The sequence below is a fragment of the Homo sapiens genome, chromosome 2, assembly GCF_000001405.40.
Source record: "Homo sapiens chromosome 2, GRCh38.p14 Primary Assembly".
In the NCBI taxonomy this organism is placed as follows: domain Eukaryota; kingdom Metazoa; phylum Chordata; class Mammalia; order Primates; family Hominidae; genus Homo; species Homo sapiens.
Genome location: NC_000002.12, coordinates 78,539,983 through 78,545,530, shown reverse-complemented (window position 1 = coordinate 78,545,530; position 5,548 = coordinate 78,539,983). Strand labels below are relative to the sequence as shown.

Here is a 5,548-nt window from a genome sequence, read left to right as displayed (position 1 = left end):
CTGAAAAATTTATCCAATTTGTTAGCATTAAAATTATGCAATGAATACAACGGCAATCAAATACAATACAATTTTTTGGGGGGGTGCTATCACAAAGGGATATCAATGTCAATCTAGAAAAAAATTAAAGTTTCAATGAATAAAACAAAGGAAAGAATAATAGTAGGTGTGGACTTATTCATTAGACACTAAAATTTAAAGGTACAGAAGTTAAAATAGGAAAACATTAATAAACAAAATAAGAAATCCAGAAAATTTGAAAATATTTAAAAATATATTTGACATACATGAAAATATAAATATATATTTCACATGTATTTGAAATCTCAGAGTAGAAATGTATAATCCACAACTGTAGTTGGAGGTTTGAAATGCTTCTCTAAATTATCAACACAATAATAAATTTTAAAATCCTCAAGAAGATAGAATAGCTAAGCAGTATCATAAACCGAATGGATATAATTGGCATTTATAGGACACTACCAAATGACAGTAGAATAGACATTATTTTCAAGTTGGTATGAAATCATTCATTAGTATTAATCATCATCTTGTAAAAGATAATGAAACCTTATGTAAAACAATTGAAAGCACACAAGTATGTTCCTTGATCATAATGAAATTAAATCTGCAAATCTGGATCTGCAGATTTAATCTGCAAATTAAATCTGGAAAATCTGCAAATATTTGGAAATCTAAAAATATATTTCAAAGTTATTTAAAAGCTTAAATAGGAAATCTCAATAGATATTAGACAATATTTTGAACTGAATAAAATTTAAAATACAACATTATCAAAAGCAGTGCTTAGAAGGAAGTTTATTGGAATAAATGCTAATATTAGAAAACAAGAAAGTCTCAAACCTAAAATCAAAGCTTTTCTAAGGAAACTTGAAAAATTAAAAACAGTAATTCTAAAGAAATCAGAAGAAAAGAAATAAAAATAGGAGCAGAGAGCAATGAAATTAATAGCAGAACACACACACAAAATGAATAAAACTACAAAAAGATGGTTAATGGGAAAAATGACAAAATTGATAAACTTCTAACTAGTCTGATAAAGAATAAAATGACAGAAGACATACATTTTTGTCAATATTAGAAATAAAACAGTGAATACTACTACAGACCATGCAAAGGTTAAAAAATTAATAAGAAGATGCTGGAAGAAAACTCTATGAACAAAAATATTTACAACTCAGATGACATGGACCAACTTCATGAAAGGGAAAAGTGTCTTCGTCCCTTCTGTTGCTATCACTGAATTCCTAAGACTAATTAATTTATAAAGAAAATGTTTCTTAGAGTTCTGGAGGCTGAGAAGTCCAAGATTGGGCAGCCACATCTGGTCAGCTTCTGGTGAGGGCCTGGTGCTGCATCATTACCTGACACAGGGCATCACAGGGTGAGAGAGGTGCACTGAGAGCCAAACTGGTTGTTATAATGGACCTGCTCCCATGGTAACTCATTAATCCACTTATCCATTAATCTATTAATCCATGAATACATGAATCCATTTATGAGGGTAGAATCCTCATGACACAACTTCTTAAATGCCCCATCTCTTAATACTGTTACATTAGAGATCAAGTTTCAACATGAGTTACAGAGGGACAAAACATTCAAATCATACCAGAAAGCTATCAAAATTTACTCAAAAGTAAACTTATTAAGAAACTTAAAATAATGGTTAAAATGGTATGGGAAAGGACATTTTATGCACAAGTCATGTCACTGGGAAGTAATATCAAGCATTTAAAGAAAAAAGTCAACTCCAAAAAAGTTAAAAAATGAACAGGAAGAAGACCTTTCCAATTTCTGAGTCAAGAATAGCTGTGATATCAAAACCAGATGGAAGATAGTACAAGAAAATGAACATACAAACAGACAAATTTTCATCATGAACATAGATCTGAAAATCCTCAAAAAATATTAGCAAACTGAATACAGCAATATATAAAAAGAATATTATACCATAACCAAGTAGGTTTTATTGTAGCAATAATAACTGGTTCAATATTCAAAAAATATATCAATGTAATACATTATATCATCAGTATAAAACAAATAAAAATGTGATTATATTAGTTGATAGAGAAATAGCATTTGAGAAAATTTAACATCTGTTCATGTTAAAAGCTGCCAGTAAACTTGGAACATAATAGAATGTTTACAAAATTTACTTAACCTACCTAACCTCATATTTAATAATGAAGTACTGAAAGTTTTCTCTTAAGATCAGAAAAAAAAAAAAAACCATGAATGTCTACTCTCATCATTGATATTAAGCATTATACTGGAAATCCTAGCCAGCATAATAAGGCAAGAAAAATAAGTAAAATGGCACATATATTTGAGATGAATTTCCAAGGTGTTCCTCGTGCTTCTTGTATTTGGATGTCTAGGTCTCTAGCAAGGCTGGGGAAGTTTTCCTTGATTATTCCCCAAATATGTTTTCCAAAATTTTAGATTTCTCTTCTTCCTCAGGAACACTTTAGGTCCCTAGTTTTGGTTGTTTAACATAATCCCAGGCTCTTTGAAAGCTTTGTTCATATTTTCTTATTCGTTTTTCTTTGTCGATGTTGGATTGGGCTAATTTGAAGACATTGTCTTCGAGCTCTGAATTTCTCTCTTCTACTTGTTCAATTCTATTGCTAAGACCTAACAGAACATTTTGCACTTCTATAAGTGTATCCCATGTTTCCTGAAGTTTTCATTGTTTTTTCTTTATGCTATCTATTTCCTTGAATATTTCTCCCTTCACTTCTTGTTTCGTTTTTTAGATTTCCTTGCACTGGGCTTCGCCTTTCTCTGGTGCCTCCCTGATTAGCTTAATAACTAACCTCTTGAATTCTTCTGCAGGTAAATCAGGGATTTCTTCTTGGTTTGGATCCATTGCTGGTGAGTTAGTGTGATTTGGGGCGGGGGTGGATGTTAAAGAGCCTTGTTTTGTCATTATCAGAGTTGGTTTACTTGTTCCTTCTCATTTGGGTAGGCTCTGTCAGAGGGAAGGTCAAGGGGTGAAGGCTGTTCAGATTCTTTTGTCTCACAGGGTGTTCCCTTGGCGTAGTACTCTCCCAATTTTCCTATGGATGTGGCTTCCTAAGAGCCAAGACCCAGCAAGTTTACCAGGCTCCAGGACTGGTACTGGGGGTTGTCTGCAAAGAGTTCTGTAATGTGAACTGTCTGTGGGTCTCTCGGCCATGGACACCAGTACCTGTTCCAGTGGAGGTGGCAGGGGAATGGGATGGACTCTGTGAGGGTTCTTAGCTTTGGTGGTTTAATGCTCTATTTTTGTGCTGGTTGGCCTCCTTACCTGGAGGTGGCGCTTTCCAGAGAGCATCAGCTATGGTAGTCTGGAGAGGAACCGGCAGTGAGTGGGGCCCTAGAATTCCCAAGAGTATATGGCCTTTGTGTTCAGTTACCAGGGTGGGTAGGGAAGGACCATCAGGTGGGGGCGGGGCTAGGCGGGGCTAGGCGTGGCCGACCTCACACTCTCCTTGGGCAGGACCTGCTGCAGCTGCTCTCGGGGTTGGAGGGGAGGTTCCTAGGTCAATGGAGTTGTGTACCTAGGAGGATTATGGCTGCCTCTGCTGAGTCATGCAGATTGTCAGGAAGTGTGAGAAAGCCAGCAGTCACCGGCCTCACCCAGCCACCCTGCCGCCATTAACAGCACTAGGCAGGCAGTGCGCAGAGCTGAGAACTTGCCCCAGGTTACCCGCCTCCCAGCTGCTAAACAAAAGGGAGGCTTTTCAGCTGGTTCAAATTGTTACAAAGTTCAGCTAGAGATTTGCTTTTACCTGCGGCGTTTTCCCCATACCACTGGCTGCCCTCCCGAAGAATTCCTGTGATGCCAGGCAGGAATGGCCTGGTTGGAGACCAGCTAGCTCCCAGGGCCTTTCCCGCTGCTTCCTCTACCCCTGTATTTCGCTGGGCTCTCTAAATGGATTCAGCTCCAGGTAAGGCCAGAATCTTCTCCTGCAAACTAGACCTTCTATTTACCCAGGAGGTGTGTGTGTTGGTTTGGGATGGTTGGGGAGGGCAAAAGCTCTCCCTTTCCCACTTCCGCAGTTTGGGCACTCACAGTATTTGTGGTGTCTTCCGGGTCCTGCAGAAACAGTCTGCTTCCTTAGAGGGTCTGTAGGTCCTCTTAGGATTCCTGATTTATTCCTGTAATCGTTCTGGAGCTAAAATACACTATGCGAACCCCCGCACACTGCTCTGTCTGTCAGAGTCAGAGCTTCAATCTAGTTCTGCATGCCGTCCGCCATGATGGACCCAAAGTGAATGGCACATATATTTGAAAAAAAAAACACAATGATTTCTCTTCACTCATGACATGATTATCTATTATAAACTTTCAGTGTTTTTTTTTTTCTAAAAAATGTCCTAAAACTAATAAGAGAATAATAAGATCACAAGTTACAAGTTTGGCATACAGGAATCAATTGCATTTCCACATATAATAATTTTGACATAATAAGCAATTAGAAACTAAAATGTCAGTATTATTTAGAATAGCTCTGAAATATAACAAGAATAGTTGTGAAAATATGAAATACAAATCTCACAGAAAATGTACAAGATCTGTCAGCTGAAAACTATGCAATATTGATGAAAGTAATCAAAGACCTAAATAAATGCAGAGACATAACAGGTTCCCAGTTTCGAAGTCTCAGCGTAATAAAGAAGTCTATTCTCCTCAAATCAGTTTATGAACTTAAAGTTAGTCTAATCAAGGTCCCAGTAGGTGGTTTCATTGATATTGACATGGTAAATCAAAAGTTTATATGCAAAAGTAAAGGAACTCCAAAAGATGAACAATTTTGGAAAGAAGAATACAGTTGGAGAAATCACAATACTGGATTTTAAGCCTTACTAAAAACCTGCAGTAAAACAGACAGTGTGAGATAGAATGATAGATCAATGGATTAAAATAGAGATTACATAAATATACTCAAATGTACTTGTGCTTCTCCTATACTTCCCCCAGTAGAAGTCTACTGTTACTTGTTTTTCAAAAAGCTAGATAGCCTAGTGGTAGGAAGAAATAAGCTGTGATCTCTGTTGTTCTGGTTGAACCTCTGTCTTAGGCATGCACTGTTTTCTTGTGTTTAGGGACTTCTTTAACTCTGCCCCTTCTATGGCTGCAGATACGGGGTCAGTGCGTAATCCTGTTTCTCCCACAGGACTACAAATTTCTTTTTCTTGTTCCTTTATCCCTTATTCAATGAGATTTCACCAATGTCCTTATAGGTTTTCCCCTATAGATTGAGGCTTTTGTTTCATGGTGGGGATAGTGAAGAAAATCCAGGCAAAATTTTTTGCTGCTTTTGCATAGGTGTGTTCTTTTTGTCTTCCAGGTCTGTCCTGCTACTTAGAGCTTTTTTTTTTTTTTTTGAATAGTATTTTCTGTAAGCATCCAATGGAGTTCATGGAGGAAAACAACCTAAAAGAGGTTACATATTGCCCCAGTTTGTTTGCTTGTTTGTTTGTTTGCCTGCATCCTAGGTATTTCATATTTCTGCATCAGCCTGCACTCCATTTT

General features: G+C 37.0%; 1 long non-coding RNA gene across 1 annotated transcript in view; it reads left to right on the top strand.

The window, feature by feature from the left end:
- The first annotated feature begins 3,640 nt into the window (after window positions 1-3,640).
- LOC124906027 (uncharacterized) overlaps window positions 3,641-5,548 on the top strand; it is a 126,610-nt gene continuing 124,702 nt past the window's right edge. The window contains exon 1 of the long non-coding RNA XR_007087117.1: window positions 3,641-3,959. This is a non-coding gene — a long non-coding RNA (uncharacterized LOC124906027). The remainder of the gene's footprint in view (window positions 3,960-5,548) is intronic.